The 20,094-nt window shown below is 39.4% G+C and overlaps 1 long non-coding RNA gene across 1 annotated transcript; it reads left to right on the top strand.

The window, feature by feature from the left end:
* Positions 1-10,454: 10,454 nt before the first annotated feature.
* On the top strand, positions 10,455-11,311 carry LINC01650 (long intergenic non-protein coding RNA 1650). Its single transcript, NR_146486.1, has 2 exons — positions 10,455-10,530; positions 10,933-11,311. It is a non-coding gene; the product is annotated as a long intergenic non-protein coding RNA 1650 (long non-coding RNA).
* Positions 11,312-20,094: the final 8,783 nt, after the last annotated feature.

The following is a 20,094-nucleotide window of genomic DNA, read 5'->3' as shown; positions in this document are numbered from 1 at the left end:
ACAGTTCTGCCCCTTGTCTGGAGAGATCTTTTCTCAGAGCAACTATGCTGCTCAATAACACTGAAGGCAATCCTGGATAAAGCCTTCCCTACCCCAAACATGCCATTCTTTTTAACAGTGACCTGGAAATGCTCTTCTTCATGTGATGATAGAAGGGTTTCAATTCAGCCCGCTGTGGTCTGGGTGGAGGAGGCCACTCAAAATCCAGCAGGTGGGAGAAGAGTTCCTTGATGATTTTAACCTGGTCTTCTACCACCTTCTCTCAAGTTACAACCTCTTACTGTAATTACAAGCAAGCCAGGAACTCTGTGGTGGCATGTATTATCACAGAGGTTACTCCCTCCTGGGCCTTACAAAACACTGGCCAGATGTTTCTTGCGCTCTGAGTTCCTTGGGCAAGGTGCTTTATTTACATGGGCTTGCTCCCCTATACATAAAAATTAAGTAGTAGCACTTGGGAGATGCTCCTCCATCTTCCTATAAAAGCCAAGAGTGGAGAATAAGGTACTATCTTCAAAGTACTTGATACAGTAGTTCCCCCTTATCTTCCGGGGATACATTCCAAGACCCCTTTTGGATGACTGAAACCTGGATAGTACCAAACCCTATAGAAGTATGTTTTTTCCTATACATAATTATCTATGATAAAGTTTAATTTATGAATTAGGCACAGTAAGAGATTAACAACAATAACTAATAAAATAGAACAATTATAACAATATGCCAGCATCACTACTCTTGCACTTGGAGCCATTATTAAGTAAAATAAGGGTGACTTGAACACAAGCACTGCCATGCCACCTAGACACTCAATCAACCTAATAACCAAGACAGCTACTAAGTGACTAGCAGGTGGGGGCATAGGGTGGAAACCTGAGCAAACGAACGATTCACATTCCAGCCAGGACAGAGAAGGACAGCATGAGATTTCAGAACAGCACACAATTAAAAACTTATAAATTATTTATCTCTGGAATTTTCCATTTAATATATTCAGGCTTCAGTAGACAGCAGTTAACTGAAACCACAGAAAGCAAAACGGCAGATAAAGGGGAACTGCTGCATATGACAAAGTCAATAATTTCTTATTGTCAACTGGAAGGTGTTATGGGTGCCCAAATGTTAAAACAAAATAAAAACCTCAGAGCACTTAATAAAGGGAATAATTAGTCAATCATTCAAATGAGTGTGTAGCTCAGTGTATAGCCTCCAATTCAAGCATATTGCATACACTCAGATCTGTCTTTTTGCACTCAAAAAAACCCTCACACATGTATACACACATGCATACACACAAAAGCAACAAGAAAGTTAACTTTGTGATGCAAAGTTAATGCATCATTACTTTTCTGCATTTGAAGCACAAAAGTCTAAAAATTTGCAGTTACTATAAGCCATGGCCTTTGACTCCATGCCAACTAGCATAGTCTGGCACATAGCACTCCCAAATTATTAATATACAGATCTGTCTGCTTCCACTTTGGTCACTGACTTAATATATGACACTAAGGAAGGCACTTATCCAACCTGTGCCTCCATTTTCCTATATATAGAAGCAAAACAAGGCATTCAAGTAATTTCAGGTTTCCCACTAGCTGCATAGGATGGTCGTAGATACTCATGAATATAGCCCATAACTCTTCCTAACCCTCAGAACAAAATCCCACTGCTAAGCAAAGACATTCCAAAACCATAGGAATGCTGTGACCTCTGAGATAATTCACCCACCGGAGTCAGACTGCTGAAGAACACTGGATGGGTGGAAAAGGAACATCTCAACCAGGAGAGAAGGAACTGAGTCAAGAAAGGGCTGCATCTGGTGAATATGTCCCTCCCAGTGATGGAACCCAGGGCTGCTGCAGCCAAGAGTCTATAACAGTGGTAAGTAGCCTTATTCAAAGGCAGAGAGACTGCACCTTCTTTCCCCCTAGAACTGTTATTCTTCACAGATATACAGAAAGTTCCTCCAGTGGCACAAGGTACAGTTCTATGCCACAGGTGTTTCTTTTGTACATGGAATCACCTCCTCCTGGAGTCATCTCTGATCAGACCTGTCCATCCTCCGGTTCCCCCATTGGGCATTTCTCTCTATGCTTCCATAATATTTTTCCTACTGTGCTAAAATGCTGCTATCTTTGTGTGTCTTCCTAATAGATGATTTCCTTGAGAGGAGAGGGCTATGATATATTTAATAAGGGCCTAGTCAATAATAATGTGTTTAATAAGTGCCTAGTTCCTGGCACATAGTAAGTGTTCGATAAATTTCTAATGAATAAGTGAATGAGTGAGATTACAAAGGATAATCAAGCACAGCTGTGCCCTTAAACAGCTAATAATCCAATGAGGGTTGATAAGACTAGAAACCAAACATTTACGACAAAACAGAATATAAGAAGGTGTGACCAAATTCTGTAGGAATTTAAGTGAGGAAACCATCTCAGAAGTGAAGAAAAAGGACTTTAAACAAGGTCTTAAGTAGAGAATGACATCTAAGAAGAGGCAGGGCCTCTGTAGTCTGTATAATAACCCACAAAGCCCCTCTGACCTTGTTTCCTACCAAATCCCTGGCTCCCTCTCCAGCAGCCACAACAGCCTGTTACTATAACCTCCAACTCACCAGCAAATCTCTACCTCAGGGCCTTTGCACGTGATACTCCCTCTGTCTGGAATGCCTTTCTCCCAGATATTCACATGGTGAAATCCCTCACCATCATCACATCTTTGCTTAAATGTTACCTCCTCAATGAGGCTTATTCTAACCACTCCATGCTAAATTGCCACCCACTAACCCCCACCAATGCTGCCAATTGCTCTTACCCTGCTCTGGGCTCTCTTGTTTGCTTTTTAATAATAGATCTTACCTAACATGCATTAAAGGCATTTTTTAGACCAATTAATTGTAAAGTCCAGTCCAAGTTTTATTTCAAACTTGCCACAAGAAAAAGGGCTCCTGAGAACACCAATTCTGAGGTTTCTCTCTTGTTAGACATGTTTCTAGAAGGAGAGAAAGTGGTTAGATAACATTGTTAGACTAGGTACAATGAAGGAATGTCTGGTTAGAAGTTATTAGGCCTGTCACAAGACAGATGATTAGCTGGGCAGATAAATTTAACTTCCCAAAAGGGAATCTTAATCTCATTCAAGTTCAATGATATAACTAGTGTATTTGACACTCAGAGCAGATCATTTTTTCTCTCTCCTCCTTAAAACAGAATTAGCTTTAGGAATAATCACAAAATTAATAATAATAATGGCCAGAAAAGAATCAGAGACAGTGAAATTTTTCTGTAATTGAATTACATGTTCATAGCATGCTAGTACTAAAATTTAACAATGAACAAAGAAAAAAATAAAATAAATGTTATAGCACAAAAAAGGAAACAAAGCAGTGGATCAATAATTTTCATCACATTCATGGGGGGGAAACTTATATCTACATATTGTTTGCCTCAGAAATGTACAATACTGCCATTTAATGTTAAATATTTAATTATTAAATAATTACATAAGACTTGTTTTAAAACAAATTTCTATTTCAGTGATATTATTCAAATTTAGTAAATATCTTCTGTATGAACTAAAATTTTTACTTTCCAAACAAAAATATGACACTTGGCAATTCTTACTTTCATTTTTTTTAATTGCAAACAAATAAACATACAGAATGATGGCAGTTATGTAGTGGCCACATAGAATGACAGAATTAAGCCAGCCGCTGGTGGCTCACACCTAGCCAGCATTTTGGGAGGCCGAGGCGGGCAAATCACTTGAGGTCAGGAGTTCAAGACCAGCCTGGCCAACATGGTGAAAACCCATCTCTACTAAAAATACAAAAAAATTCACCAGGTGTGGTGATGTGCACCTGTAATGCCAGCTACTCGGGAGCCTGAGACAGGAGAATTGCTTGAACACAGGAGGTGGAGGTTGCAGTGAGCTGAGGTCATGCCACTGCACTCCAGCCTGGGCGACAGAGCGAGACTCCATCTCAAAAAAAAAAGAATGACAGAATTGATATAGCCCAAGTTCAGTTTCTGTGTCTCTACAATCACTCTGCTATTGTTGTTTATGTCAAAACGACTGTTTAAACTCAAGCATATATACTAACCCAGGGATAGGAGACAAGTTCTGTTCCTGAAGCAAGCGCTAGCGATTCTGAATGTGTGTGTGAAGGGCAAGTGTGGAGGGAGGGAATTTATAACTAGGGGTTGTCTGAATTAATTTTCATGTAGAATAGAGTTTTTATTAAAGAATAGATAATAAAAGGTGCTAATTTGAAGTGTATGTGTATATTAAAATGTAACAGTAACCATAATAATTGTTTAAGACTTAGACCAACAAAAGAAATGAATGAATTTCCTTTATCAATGAAGTTGTCACTGGTTCATGGTGACAATAACAAGCAGACCACTTTTTGTTGGTTGTGTTGCTGTTCGGTGACTCCCTGCAGACAGAGCACTCCTCACTGCTTGCACCCGACGGGGTGTCTGCCCATTGTCCCACCCTTGGTAGGCTTCTGCTATAATCTAACAGCATTTTCTTGAAACATTTTTTCAGAAATCTAACAATTCTGGCTTGGGATCATTTTCTTTCTTATATAACACATAGTTAATTATTTCATTGATTGTTTAACTCCTCCTTAAGGGCAGGGGTACATGTCGATTTTACACACTGTGTTATCCCAAACACCTAGAAAGGTGGCACGTAGGAAGTGTTTATTTGATTAAATTGAAAATTTCTCAACTAATTCTCAACTATCATTACTTTATGGAGAGAGTCTCATCTACCTAAATTAACTATAGTTCTCTCCCAAGATCTATGCCAAAGATCCAGCAAACTGCTTTCTCAGTGTTTAGAGTATCAGAACTGAGAATCCCTGCCCCGTCCCCACAAGCCCCATGTCCCCTCCAGACTCATGGGGCTGTGTCAGTTGATTCTCCAAGTCTGTTCTGAGGACCCTAATTCTGAAGAATAATAATAGCTGTCTGGTAAAAGGAGGAAGAGGAGGAAATACCCTGTTATTAAATTATTTTAGAAAATTTTTGGTTAACAAAATTAAGGAAGACTTATTTGGGTTTTTTTTTTTCACTACAACAATTTTCAGGGTTTGTTTTATATTGTCATTCCATATTGTATAATATGCAACATTTCCAATATTTATATGACCATAGTTCTGAGAATTTCTGAGAAACTCTGTACCGCAGTGGAGTAATTTCCTGACCTCCTAGCCCTGCACACTCTTAATCTGAACATGAATATGATGAAAGTGCCTGCTTCATGGGGCTGTCGTGAGGACCAGATACATTAACCCACCGGCAGCACATAGAACAGCCCCTGACACTTGACCAAGTCATTAAATGTTGGCTACTGTTCATAGAATTTTGTATGTGGTTACTTTAATCTGAGAAACTCAGGTTAACTATAGTATTTTTCTCATCCCGCTTTGTAAATGGACAAACCAAGGCACAGATTTTTTAAAAGAGTGAAAAAGAAATGTGAGTCCTGTCTGTAATCCCAGCACTTTAGGAGGCTGAGGTGGTTACTTTGAGCTCAGGAGTTCAAGAAAAGCCTGGGCAACATAGCAAAACCCCATCTCTATGAAAAATACAAAAATTATCCAGGCATGGTGGCTCGTGCCTGTTGTGCCAGCTGTTCAGGAGGCCAAGGAGGTCAAGGCTGCAGTGAGCCAAGATCTCGCCACTGCGTTCCAGCCTGAGCAACCGAGGAAGACCCTGGAAAAAAAATAAAAACACCTAAATCTATTGTCAGGAGGATAACTATAAGAATTACTAAGGCTGTGAAATTATAATTTGTCCACAAATTTAGCATAATACCTTAAAGTACTGTTTATCACCCTATGTTCCCATTAGAGAAAAGTGACAAAATGCCAGAATAACCAAGGTCCGTCTTCTCTGGAAAACCAATTTTGCTTCGAGGTTTTTGTATTAAAAAGTTAAATAATTTAACTAGTAAGTAATTTAAACAACATATGTATATTATTAAATGTAAATATCTCAGATTAGAATGCAAATCCTATAAAATTTGAATAAAAACATGAACATTTAGATAAATATTTTCTTCCTGCAGGAGACGCCTTGAGCAAAGCCCCAGAGCCCTTGAGCTGCCTGTTCCCCTCCTCTGACATGATGGGTAATCTGATGGAAGCGCTGAGAGGCACTGCCTAGAATTAAGCCCTATGTGTAAACGAAGCAAGGAAGAAAGAACATGTGCTATCAAATATGATTCATGATTCAAATATATTTTAATATCTTATTCTTTTCACACTCTGAGAAACTATTCTGATAATGTGATTGTTTTGTAAAGGAGTGTATCTTCGGATAATATACAGATTTTATAGCTATTGCACAGTTTTAATAAGCAAAAGACTTGCTAGGTTGAACTGGGTTCAACCCAAACCACTGTACAATTTAATTCAACACAATATTCCTCTGTTTAAAGTGCATGTAATTGCCAATTTATACAGTCACCAAGACCAAAGGTTTGCTAAATAGAGTTCTGCAAACATAGTATGGCATGTTTTATCCCCAAGTACCATAAACGAAGAAAGAATGAAACTAATCATTAATCAATCATGTATCTAATTCATTTCAAGGGCTTCTTTCAACTGTACAATTATCCAATGAATAAATTCAAATCCACCTGTGTTAGTATTTTTCTAGACTTTATCACCATAAGTTTTTAAAAATCCTTAGAAACTCAAGGAAATGCGTAAAATGAAATTGACATTATCTTAAACAGTATTAGATTGCTATTCCCTCTTCTTTCATAAAGATTTTCTTTATGGAGAGTTATTCTTAAATAGCACTGATATTTCTGAAAGTTTCCCCAAGTGCTCCATTCTTAAAGAAATTTTTATTTAAAGGATGAACAATACATAACACTGCTTAGTGTGTGTGTGTTTCAGTGAAAACCATTATACTGTAAAAACTCATTCTACAACTTTTTTTCTGTCTAAATTGTAATTTTTGAGATGTAGTAAACATATCACTGTGTGTAAATAGATCTAATTCTACTAACTGGAAAAAACGCTCAACACTCATGACAGAGGTTATTTCTAGGGACCTAGGGAGGGGAATGAGGCTTGGAATCCCAGACAAAAGGCATGTGAACTTTATATATAATGTATTATTTATTTTATTAAATATTGAAGTAAATCTGGCAAAATGGCAATAATCATTGGATGTTTTCTTTGTGCTTTTCTGCAATTTTAATTTTTGTCTTAAGTAAATATATTAAGGACTTGAAAATATAGTCTTATTTTCTCACTCAAGTAAACGAAGACAAATTTTCCTTTTATATGTGAAGAACTTCTTACAAAATTCACAAAGAAAGATTTCTGCTGGCTGTTTAATGTCTCCTTTGCTCTTTACCCTGCTTTGAGGGCTCTGGCCCCTCATGCTCATCTGCGCAGCAACAAGGGTCCAGTTAGCTTCCCAGGAACCTGCACTGGACATTGATGCACATCTTGGCAGGCTCTTCAGGCACCACGTTCTGTTCTCTGCATCCTTTCATCCCATGCAGCCCCTCCTTAGTCACCCTGGGAAGAGGATGATCTTTCTGAAACTCATGACTGTGGACAGGCACACTCTGGTATTATCCAGTGCTCTTTGTGGGCCCTTGATCAACAATCGACCTTGAATAAGATCTTTCCCTGTGAGGGATGAAACTCCAAAGTAAAAGCAAGAAATCTATGTTTACAAGATGGCAAAGCCCCTGATTCTATGTGCTTCTTCCCTCCATTCATTCAGTAACTCTTTTTAAGAGGCTGCTTTATGGCAGACACTGTCCTAAATGCTAGGGATACAGTGAAAAGATGAAGATCTGTCCTTGGGGTTTCCACCCTTATTGGGGAGTTGGTAGACAGGCAATGGACAAATTAAGTAAGTAAGTATCTGGTATACAAGAAGGTGGAAAATAATATGGAAAGTAATCACAGATACAGAGCACTTAGGGGTGGGGTGGTGGAGGAAGCCTTCACTGCAAAGGCAGCATGTGAGCATGTTGAAGGAAAAAAAAGTTGTGATACATGTGGATATCTAGGGATAAAAACATTGCAGGCAGAAGAAAAAGCAAGAGCAAAGGCCCTGAGGTAGGAGTATGCATGGAATGCTCAAAAAACAGCATCCCCGTATATGAGGAATGCAGGGGACTGGCTAGAGAGATACCCAATTGCAAAGTTTGCTCTCCTCTCTATGTGAATTCTACTCAAAGTGTAGTTGTCAGAACAGCAGCATTGGTCTCACCTGAGAATCTGTTAGAAATGAAGATTCTTGTGTGTCACCCCAGGCCTACAGAATCAGAATCTCTGGGTTGTTTGTTTGTTTGTTTGTTTGTTTGTTTTGAGACAGAGTTTCACTCTTGTTGCCCAGGCTGGAGTGCAATGGCACAATCTCTGCTCACCGCAACCTCCACCTCCCAGGTTCAAGCGATTCTCCTGCCTCAGCCTCCCAAGTGGCTCAGATTACAGGCATGCGCCACCATGCCTGGCTAATTTTTGTATTTTTAGTAGAGACGGGGTTTCTCCATGTTGGTCACGCTGGTCTCAAACTCCCAACCTCAGGTGATCCACCCACTTCGGCCTCCCAAAGTGCTGGGATTACAGGTGTGAGCCACTGCACCCTGCCCAGAATCTCTGGGGGTATTTTAACTCTCCACCTGATTCTTATTCATGCTAAACTTCTCCAACACTGCTAATAACAAAAAGAAAAAAGCATCAATATTTGGCTTCAAAAATCCTAAGATGAAAATGTAATTCTGTCCCTTACTAATACTCTAACATTGGATTCATTGCACAATTTGTCTAGGCGTCAGCTTCCTTGTATATAAAGCAGACAAATCCATGCCTGCTCATTTTAACCAAGAGAGTTGCTTTAAAAAATTTAAATATCAAATATGATGGCAAATGTTAAAGGAATGAGGTGACTGTAAACCTCTTGACAAATGTGGGTTTTTATTATTGTGAACATAAGCCCCCAAGCCCATCCACTCTCAGGCATTTGTACTTTTCTGTACCCTCTACCCCCACCCCCTCATCCCCTACAACTACCACCAATGCTATTAGGCTGGTAAAGACTTGCCCACGGAGAGCTTACAAGTGAGTCTGATCTGGTTTTGTTCAATTTGGCACAGAGCCTTGGCATTGCAGACTGCAGCTGGTGTAGTGCTGTCATGATATATATGATACCTGTCCTCGCTTTGGCAGGCAAGACTCTTGCCACCAAGCATTTCAGACTAGGATAATGGCACAACAGAGATGCTTGTGACACTTAGCCCAGAACACTTCCATCACTCTTTGTATCCCAAAGTATTTGTTATGTTTTACGCAAACAATACATGTTTGCTTGGTGTATGCAGTGGAGAGGACACTGGATTTGGAGTCAAAAGAAAAGGGTTCCAGCCCCCAAGTTCACTAAATGACCCAGAGAGTTCACATTACCATTCTGAGCTTACCTTTGCTATCTACTTCCTAAGTGGGTGAGAGTTATGGAAAATAACATACATGAAAGCTCTTTGTAAAAAATAAAGCACCACGAAAGAGAATAGAACATTGTTATCATAATCCAGTTCCTCAGTAGGTCAGTCACTCAATAAACAGCTGACAAATATTTACTGAACCCACAAAGTACCTGGCTCTGTGCCAGGCTCTGGGACACAGCAGTAAATGACAGAATAAAACCACACCGCATGTGACACTTATATTCTAACAGAAGAACAGAGAAAACAAACAGCAGCAAAAGTAAAATATGTAGTCTGTCCAATGGTAATAAGTGCTTTAGAGAACAATAAAGAAGAGGAAGCTGGAATGTAGGAGGAAGGGGATTATAAGGTCACAAAGGGTAGCTAGGAAAGGCACTGCTGAGAAGGTGCATTTAACCAAAGACCGAAGGAAGGGATAGAGTCCACCTCAGTGTCCCAAGCTCAAATCATGCTCAGAACATGTTCAGACCAGTTCTAAGTCTGTTTGGCCTTCTGGATCTGTGGTCCAGAATACTTGCAGAATTTTCCTTATTTCTAGCCTTTTGTGCCATATGTGGGATAATTCGCTGAATATCATCCGTGCCATGGATAACTCATACAAAGGCACAAACCCAAGCCATGTGAATGGCCTATTTGAAAACTTTTTTTTTTACTGAGGCAACTGGGACAGTAGCTGTTGAATGAACTCCTCTTCTACCAACGCCAGAATCCAGTGACGTTTCACCAGTATGAAGATGGGAACCACATGCTATACTTATAGACTACAGATAAACTTCATATCCTTCTTATTTTTATTGTTAACATTACTGTTTTGATTCTATCATTCACTCCTATTTGCTGAGCATCTATTATGGGCTTAGTATTTTGCAGCTATAATGAGAAGAGGAATTATTTTTTAAAAAAATGACTATAGCACTCTCACATTGTAGAGGGACAGGATTCATATTTAGATATCTAGGTGAATTTTTCATTTCTGCAAAGATGGACTCCAGAACCTAGTGTGAAATGGGAATATTGAGTATGCTATGTAATCAAGTAAGAGAATGTTTTTATTTTCCAGTGGCAGATGTGGGGGTTGGGGTTCAGGGAACCCGGAAATAGAAGGATCTAAGAGAAGGTGACAGGGACTATGGGGGCAGGTCCCAAGAGATGGAGGGCAGCCAGAGTTGAAAGAGCAGGAGAGTAATGAGAATTTCCTGGCGCCAGAATGGGCAAGAAGTTTAGGAACAGTAAAAACTAACATTTTATTTTAAACGTATTTTCTATTCCATGCTGCAGCTGGTGTAGTGCTGTCATGATATATATGATACCTGTCCTCGCTTTGGCAGGCAAGACTCTTGCCACCAAGCATTTCAGACTAGGATAATGGCACTCTCCTCCATCATCAAAACCCTCAGTAAAATCTGCTGTGTACAACAACTTTCCTATTGTCTTTAGGGAATGAAGGAGAATGGAGCTAGATCTGTAACAGGAGCTACAGAAAACAAGATGGCAAACAAGGTCCCAGCAGAACCCAGAGTCGAAAACAAGAGAACCAGGCGAATGTGAGCACCCACCAGACCCACCCACAGAGAATCCTAGCGACTGAAGTCATTTTATGTTTGCCTTCAACTTGAGATAAGTCCCAGAAAATTGGAGGATGTGGAGACCAGGATGCCTCATTGCACAACTCCAGGAGGCACATTACAGTAGGTGTGCAAGAGGGCATGACACTCAAGTTACAAACACATCATTTCATTTAATCTTCACAACACTCCTGGAAAAAAGGCATTATTATCCTTGTCTTACAGATAAAGAAACTGAGACTCCAAGAATATGTCCTATGTCAGTCATTATGTGTCTAACAATTAGGGGGAATCAGTGTTAAGACTCAGTTCGTTCCAACCTCAAAATCCATTCCAATTTGTATATGACCTATTTCTATGAAGCGGTGAATGCAAGTGGGTGCCCCACAGACAGTGCTTCCCACAATCTCTTCCCTCTTCTCTAAGATCCTCATGGTTCTAGGTTCCCCACAACTCAATCTCCATATCTGCCACTAGAAAATGGAAACATTATTTTATTTTATTTTATTTTATTTTATTTTATTTTATTTTATTTTATTTTATGGCATATTCAATACTTCCATTTCACACTAGGTTCTGGAGTCCACCTTTGCAGAAATAAATGTAGTTCTGCGACTTCAGAACTATACTTCTCCACCTCAATTCAGGCAGCAAGAACCTACAGAAACTTAAAAGGACCCCAAAATCCAGTAATTCTGAAACGCCACATCATAGCTTACCCAAAAACTTTGCCTGTTTTTTATTCAGACCTATGTGCATGCAAATATATACACATAGGTCTGAATAAAAAACAGGCAAAGTTAAGCAGAAGTGTAGAGGAGTTCATAAGTGAAGGGAAATTATGGTGCATGAACTACTCTGCTTGCTTCTTTTGGCCTTAGTCTCAAATCCAAACCCCACTCCATTTTAAATATATAATTCGGTTTCCTAAGACAACTCCAAAAGATCGTTTACTCTCCTGTTTCCCTTTCCCCTATGAAAGCTACAAATGCAATCAATTTAAATTATCACCAAGGCTGTAGACTGACTGTAGCCAATCAACTGTCAGCACCAGAGGAGTCCTGAAAGCAAGTCTTATTTCCCTGGAGCTTTTCCACCTTCTCCATTGTCTTCTTCTCTCCCCAATAACATCCTCAATATCTTCCATTCTGCTCGCAGTCAGTGCATGTGCTCCAGGCATCAAATACTAGCCTTATTGACATTTTAATTTTCATGTTTATATCTTCATTTCCATTCAGTCCTTAGACCCCTCTCTATGTGACTCAACCTTCAATCAGGACAAATGTTTCTTTGCTTCTTTGATGCTGTGAGTCCAGTGGAAATCAAGTGGCTACAAACAAGTGTTCTATGGCTTGTCACTCTGACCAACCAACAAAGAATTTAGGCTTGTGACAAGTTGATTTGTTAAGATAAATCAAATCCCACCATGTGCTGGAGTACTCACTCTGAAGGACTAACTGTCATTGGTTCCAGAGAAGCTTGTCCAGGCTTTAGTCATGATCTAAAAGACTCTTCATCAAGCAAAGACAGAGGATGTTGTTAGTGGAAACTGAGAAGGTGGACACATCCTTCCTCTTGCTAGGCTAGCTCAGTTATTCTTAGGCCACTCAGATAAAAGTACCAGATCTTATATAAGCCGTGATGCCTCTTCTCTGGAGGGAAATCTGTTTTTGATCATTCACGTTTCCCCAATTAAAATTTGCACATAAAAACAAGCAAGTGGAAGGAGGAGAAAAGAACGCTTTTCTTTTCACACAATGCTGTTGACAATCTAGTTATTTCTCTGCTATAATAATCCAAGCCATGATGTATCTCCCACACCATGGTGGCATTACTGCAAGGCCCCTCACCTTGATCACCTGCATAGATCTTTTCTATTTTATTTCAAGTTGACAGGAAAGTCATTATACCACTTCTTTAAAGAAGCTGCATAATGAAAAATACACAAAGCACTTTGGAAGCTGAAAAAGTTTCTGTCTCCAAAATCTACTGGCCCTCTCTTCTGTGGACTGCAAGCATCCCAGAGCTAATCAGAAGTCATGAGGAGTTGATCTGTTAGAAACCAAACTACTTAAGGCAAAAAGGAAATATATTGGTTCATGATAGTGAAAAGCCTAAGGTAGCTCTAGACTGGCAAGACTGGATTCAGGTGTTCCAACACTGCTGTCAGAAAGCTATCTCTCTCCAATTCCATCTCACCACTGCACAGTGAGAAGGCTGCCAAGAGCTCCACATCCATTTTCATCATCTCATAAAGCCTACTGGAAAGACAGCCTCTTCCCAGAAGTTCCAAAGAGAATCTTAGGATTGTGTGTCATTGCCACAGCTTGAAGAGGTGAAATGGCTAGACTTGCGCTCATTCAGGAGCTGACAGTGAGGTTGTAGACTGAATCACATCAGCTGCAAATCACAGAGAAATGTTCCCAAATGTAATCGAGTTTTTGTTACCAGAAAATGAGTGAACAAGTACTGGGCAAACAAAGACATAAATGAAGGTGGACAACTGGCCAGCCAACAGGCACTGGCTCATTTCCAGTTGACCCTAGAATTCGTCCAGTGTTCCATGCTCGGTGTTTCAGAGGCTCTGCAGAACCAGATTGCTAAAGAGAGGAAGGAAACAGTGTACACTACCAGCTGTGATAGAAAAGAATGGCATCTTTTGTTGAGGAGCAAAATTGCACACCCAGCCCCAAACCCCACCTCCATTCCACTGCCTTTTCTCCTCTTCACTCCCTCTAGTCCACTCTCCAGCTCACCCTCGTTCATCCCAAAGCTGCCAAGTCAGGGCTTTTTTTGTTGCTCTTTTCTTTTTCCTTCCAATTTGTCCTTGAAAATCATCTAAATCTAACATTCTTTTAAAGTAAGTAGCCTCTTATGGATGACTGCTGGTGAGTTCAGCTATTCCGATAACTAACAGAATTTTACATTCCCAAGTATAAAACAATACACATCTGAAACCAGGCATGTCAGAATAAAGTTTTACATGCAGCAACACCAGAGCAAGGATCAAGAATCAATGGGATAAGCCAGATTTCTAACTGTATAAAATTGGAAGAAGCAGGAAAAAAAACGCAACAATTTGCTTCAGATGCTATATCTCCTTAAAGAGGACCCTAGATCTCACACTCCCTGGAGGATGATCCCAGTGGCCTCCTGTGTTGGATACAAAAGAATCAGAATGTTCCTTCCTTCAAGGAAGGCAATCATATACTTGTTGAATTGTTACTAAGAAAGTCCAAACCCTAAATGACAAAAAATAGAGTTGGCTATTATGGTGAAGATTCTAGCTACTACAGCCAGTTAAAGAAGGAAGCTATATCATAGGACTACTCAAAGTTATTCAGGAAGGTCTGTATCACAATATGGGACAAATGTCAGTGTTATTAGTTATATCTGATAGGATTCTTTGAGGACAAACTACTGAAATCCACACTGGTTAACTTAACCATAAAGGGGGTATCAAAAAAGCTACAGTGTGGCCCACAGAATTGAAAGAATAGCTAAAGAATGAATGAACATAACAAGGGCAAGACCTCTCCAGGGATCAAGGCTGCAGCAGAAAATTGATATTCTAGCAGGGTGCAGCTTTTCCATCCAGATATTACTGCTCAAGAGTTTAGTGCCCCAGAAAAGAAACTGATTGGCCCAGACTTGGTCACATGGCACTACCTGGTTGTCAGGGGTGGTAGTATGTGGGGTGTGGAGAGGAAGACACTTAGACACCTTGATTGACTATTCAACCAAGGCTGCACCTGATATGGAGAAGGGATTCCAAATGATACTGGAGTACTATTACTTGAATAAAAGGGCAATGGTGCTCAATAGAGAAGGAAAGAAGAGGGAAGGAAAGACGCGAAGAAGGAAAGAAGGGAGGAAAGAAGGAAGGAAGGAAGGCGGGCAGGCAGGCAGGGAGGGAGGGAGGGAAGGAGGGAGGAGAAATGGGAAAAAGGAAGAAAAAAGAAAAAAAGGAGAGAGGGAGGAAGAGAAGAAGCAGGGAGAGATGACAAGGATGGGAGGAAGGGAAGGAAATTAGTTAACCTCTCTATATTTTAGTTTCTTTTCTATAAAATGGATGTAATTACTGCATCTACTTCCTAGAAGGGTTATGAATACCATGTAAAGCACTTAGCACAGGGTCTGGAACATAGGAAATGCTCAATAATTTTAGGCATTTATCCTAGATGGGAAGCCACAGAAGGGACACTTGTCGAAAAGAAACAAACTACGTGCTGCTCTGAAATAATTGCCAAATTATTTGTTTATTATGAACTTACTGAAAATCATCAAATGATTAATTATCCAAGATATACAGCGGAGCAAAAGAAAGAGATACATAGTGCAGTGTGTCTCTAAACTGGAGAAACTCAAGAGCATCATGGCATATAAGAAACGTAAGTTGATAGAGTTGTCTACCCATGAAAGTGGGGTTGTTATCTGAGTTTTCACCAAGTATTTTAATGCATTGGTGAGTACTTAGTCCAGGGAGAAAGTCCTAGATGACAGACATCCCTGACATATCCAAAGAATAGCTGCACATTTAATCCCTCAGCCTCCTTGCATTACCCATTAACATGCCTGCTCTGCTACACCAGCACAAGGTTCTAAGTCTGTCACACTTGGCTTCTGCTTAAGTCTGTTTGGAGTGATGACAATCAGGGTCCATACTGGCTGGCAATCCCTTCCACACAGCTGCACTAAAGGAAACCTCCAACAGAGTAGGAGTGTTATTAGAGGCGAACCAGCCCTCAGTTTGCTCTTTTGTTAGGTCCCAATTAGGCACAGGCAAGAGTCAATTATGATGGTGTGGGGAAGAGAAATATTTCAGGTAAGAACTCCAAATTACATATAACCTCCACTGAGGCAAGCTGACCTTCTAGGAACAGTGTTGCTGTGCTGGTACCTCAGCCACGCAGACTGTCAACTAGCCAGTCCTTCCTATGCACAAACCTATGCATCTGATGACCATTTCTCAGTAAACAAGTGTACTGATGACCATTTCTCAGTAAACAAGTGTATTATTGAAAATGGAGAACTGGGTTGAGGTGAAATGAGAAAGGGGGAGTCATCCCCATCAGCCTGCTATGTTTCCATCACTGGTATTGGCTGTTCTGTTCCATCCTAAAGGGGAACTGCTCTCTTCTGCATCATCATGTCATTTTTATTATGCCAGCAAATGATAAGGCAAAAACCCATCATCACAGACCAGCCTGTGAAAAACTAACTAACAATATGAAGTTGAAAATGAAGAAGAAAGTCTTGCATTTCCTTTCACCTGTAGGGGAAAAAAATGAAGCCCAAGGCAAGCTCCTCACCATTCAGCAGTCCATCTTACTTTAAAATATACGCATGCAGACTGAACAGGAAGATTTCTGCTATGCACGGCAATTGTTCCATTTTCTATATTTCATAACCTGCAATTTTGAAGCCATGCTTGGTACACACGCTTGTAAAATAGTCATATCAGATAAAAGCAGAGGGATGCTAAACTATTGGAAAATAAATCAAATTCTCAGCAAGCCGTTATATCCATCATGTTGCAGCAAGCGCACGTATAGTTTAAGCTGTGCGCGCACAGTCTATCCATTGTAATGATTTGGGGTCAGGATCCTGCCACAAGCATTTAGCATTCACTAAGAAGTAAACCCAGGAGTGTAGCAGGGAAAAGTGCCGAGCTGTAGCTTTTGGTCCTGGAAGTTGCCCTCGATGTATTTGTTTGAGTATAGCCATTGTATCTAAATAGCAAGGCAGAGAAGAATTAACACATGCATAGAACGTGACTATTTACAAGGAGCTTGCATGAGCATTATCTCACTTGATCCCCAAAAGAAACTCAGAAGATGAATGGAGAAAAGCACTCGCATGTTACAGTAGCACAAAGACATTTGGAAACATCTGTGAAATGTTGAGTAAAAAATCTGAAAACCCATCCACACCCACCCCCATTCAAAACTAGGGTGGGAGTGTTAGAGTGATGTTTCAGCAGTGTCTTGTCCTAGAACCAACATATTCACATTTGACCATAACAAATATTCCATGTCTTTGATTTTTTTTCTCTTAACACAAACATAAGACTAGTTTATTAGACAATTGCACAAGATTTTGTGAAGCCTTATGTAAGCACCAAATATGAAAATTATTCAGAGAGAGAAATCAGAACTTATAAGTATCATTAAGCAAAAGAACTACACATTACACTGTACACTAATATGGATTATTAAAAATATTTCAAAATGTTCAATGTAAAAAAGTAGAAAAATTTAAAAACCACGGATTTTACTTAAAAAAAACATAAAGCTTCAAATTCCATGTCTGAATGTCACAGAAAAGCCAGTTTGTTCACAAGGCTACGTAGTAAGTCTTAACCACATCAATATAGCACTCTCCCAGAAATGAATGTCCAACAATTAGCCTCCAATTCCCTCAAACCTCCACTTCCTTGCAAGATGAATTCTTCCTGATTCTTCTCTTCCCTGCTTGCCAAGACCCCAAATTTGATCATCCAAAGCATTTTCTTTCCCCTGCTTTCCACTCCATAGTATTTGTCCTTCCCCTTTACCATTAATTGAAAACTCAACCCTGGAACCATGCTGTAAACCATGCATTTCACCTCTGGAGAGGATCACAGGATTCCATAATCTGGCCCCTGTATTAATCAGCTTGACTGCTACAACAAAATATCATACACTGGGTAGTTTAAACAGCCGACATGTATTTCTCACAGTTCTAGAGGCTGGAAGTCCAAGATTGAGGTGCCAGCATGACTGGGCTCCTGGCAAGGGCTATCTTTCTGCCTTGCAGATGACTGCCTTCTACCTGTGTCCTCATGGCCACAGAGAGGAAGCTCTGGTGTCTCTTTCTTTTCTTACAAGGGCACTAATCCCATCATGGGGAAATCCACCCTTGTGACCCTATCTAAACCTAATTGTTTCCCCAAGGCCCCATATCCAAACACCATCACACTGTGGGTAGAGCTTCAACATATGAGCCTTGAGAGGACAGAAGTCAGTCCTTAGCAGCCCCATTTCCAATTCCTGATGTCATCCTCTAAATGGCCTTCAATGCTCTGCAGCAGTTCTTCTACTAATTCCTGTCTTATACTCACTCTCCCAAATTTATATATGAAACCAAAGAATTGCCCTGGCCGTAGCTGAGGTTATATAAATACAATGTTACTAATACACTTGTATGAAAGAATAGAACATCAAAACTCAATGTATTGAAGAGCCCACACAACAAACTTTTCATGATTCTGAAAATCCCTTCAGGGGCTCTCCTAAAGTTCCAAAAATTCTCCTATAATTAAAATTGGTTTTCCCCAAACCTAGCATTTAATATAAATAAATATTGACTTCCTTGTCTGTTTTTACAATTTTGTTCTTGTTTGCTATTTTAGCAACTGTTTTTCTGTCTACCTTACAATATAAATGTAAAATATTTCAGGTACATTATGGATGAAAAAAATTGTTTAGAAATATAACCATATTCATAGTATTTCTTTGGATAAGTGCTTTCTGAGTTTCAAACGAGCAAGTTTTGAAATAAACATAAGAAATAAATAATCTGTAAGTTGGGGACTATTCTATAGGAAGCATCATATTTTCCCACATAATATTTAAGATTTGAGGCAATATAATTAAATTTAGAAAATATTTTCAAATTTCATAAGGGGAAGGGAAATATATACAAGGATTAGATGATAACAAATACTAATGTGTAATTACTGATTCTTTATGAAAGTGGAAACTTCGCTGTAATATCAAGCTTCCAAATATGAATTGAAGAATGAACCTGTTCAACTTATTAGAAAAGTTGACACTAGCTCAAAACAACTTTTTAAAAAGTGTGTTATAAGAACAAACTACTAATATTTCTGTAGCATTTTGAACCACGAAAGGCAATCAATCAAAAGGAGAAGTATAACAAACACGCCAGAAAGATCTAGAGATCATGTTCCCTTAAAGCATAGATGTGATCTGGTGGAAAACTTCCAGTTATCAATCTGAAACTGTATGACAATTCCAACAAATTTTACTGTCTTGTAGACCTCCTCTTGCCCAGAGCTAGCCAAGATAAGCCATGGGCTCACCTGTCACATTAACCTTAAGAGACACGTCAGGTCCTGCTGAAGAGGATATTCAAATCAATCCACTATTGATTCCTACACCCTGCTCCTTCCAACCCACTGTCAAGTTCTAAGAAACTACTAGAAGATCCAAAGTCATCTTGGGAGGGAGTGCCCTCAGCACTGGTTAACAAGTGATACCTGATCACCATTCACCTAGTCTTTTATTTCTACAAATTTCAACTCCAGTCCTTAGAAAGAAGCAGAACCAGGGGATGAGCACCATGAACTGAGTTGTTCTGAATCCTGAAAAATTTTCATTATCCATTTTGAAATCATTTTGCCCCAAACCTCAGGTACATATCAAACTAGGAGACTGAACTGAGAAGGAGACAAATTGAAAGAAAAGGTCTGAGACGCATGGCAGGCAAGAGATGTTTGGACCCTTTCAGCTGCTCCATCCCTTGAAAGCTTTGGCCCCACTGGGCTAGCAGCACTCTTACCTTCCTGGAGAAAAGTGCTTCTGATCCATTATTTTAGAGAATAAGAATATCACTTGTCATTTCCCTTTTTAAAAAGTTATTTATAAGTTAGTAAATTAATAAGTAGTTTATATAGCAACTTTAGTCAAATGGGTTTCACATCATATAACAAGTCTTTGAATTTTAGAATTTGAGAATTTTTGAATATGTCTTCTTTGCGATTATTGTAGTCAAATGTAAAATATTTTCCCTACACACTGAAAAATATGTCATGTAAATTATGTTAAATGCTTATGGTAAATATCTGCACTGGAAGGAAAAATCTGTTCTCAAAGAAATTAGGGCCTGAAACTTCATACAGATTCAATAAATACATGCCAAATGAATAAAGTGATAGTGTATATTAATTTGTGCTAAACCTAATGCTACATCTATACATATTTTCTCTTTATGATATGATTTTGCTGTGTCCCCACTCAAAGTGTCATCT

This window comes from Homo sapiens, chromosome 1 (assembly GCF_000001405.40).
Source record: "Homo sapiens chromosome 1, GRCh38.p14 Primary Assembly".
NCBI lineage: Eukaryota > Metazoa > Chordata > Mammalia > Primates > Hominidae > Homo > Homo sapiens.
The sequence above is the reverse complement of the archived record's forward strand: the minus strand, read 5'-3'. Positions and strand labels throughout refer to the sequence as shown.